The following is a 3,116-nucleotide window of genomic DNA, read 5'->3' on the forward strand; positions in this document are numbered from 1 at the left end:
ATTTGCTTGTCTGTAAAGTATTTTATGTCTCCTTCACTTATGAAGCTTAGTTTGGCTGGATATGAAATTGTGGGTTGAAAATTCTTTTCTTTAAGAATGTTGAATATTGGCCCCCACTCTCTTCTGGCTTGTAGGGTTTCTGCCGAGAGATCTGCTGTTAGTCTGATGGGCTTCCCTTTGAGGGTAACCCGACCTTTCTCTCTGGCTGCCCTTAACATTTTTTCCTTCATTTCAACTTTGGTGAATCTGACAATTATGTGTCTTGGAGTTGCTCTTCTCGAGGAGTATCTTTGTGGCATTCTCTGTATTTCCTGAATCTGAACGTTGGCCTGCGTTGCTAGATTGGGGAAATTCTCCTGGATAATATCCTGCAGAGTGTTTTTCAACTTGGTTCCATTCTCCCCATCACTTTCAGGTACACCAATCAGACGTAGATTTGGTCTTTTCACATAGTCCCGTATTTCTTGGAGGCTTTGCTTGTTTCTTTTTATTCTTTTTTCTCTAAACTTTCCTTCTCGCTTCATTTCATTCATTTCATCTTCCATTGCTGATACCCTTTCTTCCAGTTGATCGTATTGGCTCCTGAGGCTTCTGCATTCTTCACGTAGTTCTTGAGCCTTGGTTTTCAGCTGCATCAGCTCCTTTAAGCACTTCTCTGTATTGGTTATTCTAGTTATACATTCTTCTAAATTTTTTTCAAAGTTTTCAACTCCTTTGCCTTTGGTTTGAATGTCCTCCCGTAGCTCAGAGTAATTTGATTGTCTGAAGCCTTCTTCTCTCAGCTTGTCAAAGTCATTCTCTGTCCAGCTTTGTTCCATTGCTGGTGAGGAGCTGCGTTCCTGTGGAGGAGGAGAGGCGCTCTGATTTTTAGAGTTTCCAGTTTTTCTGTTCTGTTTTTTCCCCATCTTTGTGGTTTTATCTACTTTTGATCTTTGATGATGGTGATATACAGATGGGTTTTTGGTGTGGATGTCCTTTCTGTTTGTTAGTTTTCCTTCTAACAGACAGGACCCTCAGCTGCAGGTCTGTTGGAGTACCCTGCCGTGTGAGGTGTCAGTGTGCCCCTGCTGGAGGGTGCTTCCCAGTTAGGCTGCTCGGGGGTCAGGGGTCAGGGACCCACTTGAGGAGGCAGTCTGCCCGTTCTCAGATCTCCAGCTGCGTACTGGGAGAACCACTGCTCTCTTCAAAGCTGTCAGACAGGGCCATTTAAGTCTGCAGAGGTTACTGCTGTCTTTTTGTTTGTCTGTGCCCTGCCCCCATAGGTGGAGCCTACAGAGGCAAGCAGGCCTCCTTGAGCTGTGGTGGGCTCCACCCAGTTTGAGCTTCCCGGCTGCTTTGTTTACCTAAGCAAGCCTGGGTAATGGTGGGCGCCCCTCCCCCAGCCTCGCTGCCGCCTTGCAGTTTGATCTCAGACTGCTGTGCTAGCAATCAGCGAGACTCCGTGGGGTAGGACCCTCCGAGCCAGGTGCGGGATATAATCTCGTGGTGCGCCATTTTTTAAGCCCATTGGAAAAGCGCAGTATTCGGGTGGGAGTGACCCGATTCTCCAGGTGCCGTCAGTCACCCCTTTCTTTGATTGGGTAAGGGAACTCCCTGACCCTTTGCTTCCCGAGTGAGGCAATGCCTCGCCCTGCTTCAGCTCGTGCACGGTGCGCGCACCCACTGTCCTGTGCCCACTGTCTGGCACTTCCTAGTGAGATGAACCCGGTACCTCAGATGGAAATGCAGAAATCACCTGTCTTCTGCGTCGCTCAGGCTGGGAGCTGTAGACTGGAGCTGTTCCTATTCGGCCATCTTAGCTCCTCCAATATTTTTGTCTAATGAAAAATCCCTAACACTGGAAAATCCTTGCCTATCTTTTGTTTCTTTGTTTATTTTTGGCTTTGTTTGTTTTCAGAGAAAAAGGAATGCTTAAAACAATAACAAATAGGAATGTTTAGATTTGACACAACTTTCTTGGTGATTTAGGCCAATTTTTTTTTTAAGAAGGAAAAATATTGATTAACTTCTAAACTTAAGATACCTGGTTTGGGTATAATTCAGATGAAAACATAAAAGCAAGTTTGCTTTAAAAAACCTTTTAAAAAAGTTATTTTTTATTGACAAAATTTATATATTTATTGCATACAACATGGTGTTTTGAAATATGTATACATTATGAAATGGCTAAAACAAGTTACTTAACATACCATTACCTCATATACTCTTTTTTTTTTTTTTTTGTGGTGGAAACACTTAAAATCTACTCTCTTGGCAATTCTCAAGAATATAGTGTATTGTTATTAACTATATATACAATAAATCTCTTAAACTTCTTCCTTCTGCTTTTGTATCCTTTGACCAACATCAGCCCAACCCCATCCTCCCACCCCCCTCCTCTGGTAAACATCATTCTACTCTCTACTCTATGAGTTCAACTTTTAAAAATTTATTAAAAAATAAAAGTTAGATAATGTCTTTCTTTTCTTTTTCTTGATCAGATTGGCTAGAGGTTATCCATTTTATTATCATTTAAAAGCATTAGCTTTGAGCTGGGTTGATTTTTTGCTATTTTTTTTCTGTTTTCTATTTATTGCTTTCTACTTATTTCTTTATTATCTCTTCCTCCTGCTTACTTTGGTGTAATTTCTTCTCTTTCTGTTTTCTTAAGGAGGAAGCTTAGATCCTATATGTGTCTCTTATTTTCTAATACAGTTACTTAATGCCATAGAAATCCCCCGAAGCCCTGCTTTAGCTGTGTACTACAATTTTTGTTTAGGTTTAGTTTTTAGTTTCATTTGGTTCAAAATACTGGTCTTCTTTGTGACTTTTTGACTTATATTTAATTTAGAAATTTGTTAATTTCCAAGTATTGGAGGTTTTCAAGGAATTTTTCGGATATTCATTTCTGTTTAATTTCCTTGTGTCAGAGGCCATATTTTGTGTGATTTCAACTCCCTTACATTGTTAAGATTTGTTTTATGGCCCAGAGTCTAATAAATTGTAGTTTAAAAATGTGTGTTCTACTGTTGTTGGGTGGGGTTGGCTGGCAGTGTTGGTCACATCTTTTATATTCTTACGCATTTTCATTTACTTATTCTCTTACTTACTGACAGGTTTTTTTGAACTCTCTAACC

The 3,116-nt window shown here is 40.6% G+C and overlaps 1 annotated feature.

The window, feature by feature from the left end:
• Window positions 977–1,532: an enhancer, noted in NCBI's record as "NANOG-H3K27ac-H3K4me1 hESC enhancer chr4:111614011-111614566 (GRCh37/hg19 assembly coordinates)". NCBI's record gives its function as "activates a minimal SCP1, AML or CMV promoter by ChIP-STARR-seq in naive H9 embryonic stem cells {active_cell/tissue: H9 hESC(naive)}" and the evidence as "EXISTENCE:reporter gene assay evidence [ECO:0000049][PMID:30033119]".

The sequence above is a fragment of the Homo sapiens genome, chromosome 4 (assembly GCF_000001405.40).
Source record: "Homo sapiens chromosome 4, GRCh38.p14 Primary Assembly".
Taxonomy (NCBI): domain Eukaryota; kingdom Metazoa; phylum Chordata; class Mammalia; order Primates; family Hominidae; genus Homo; species Homo sapiens.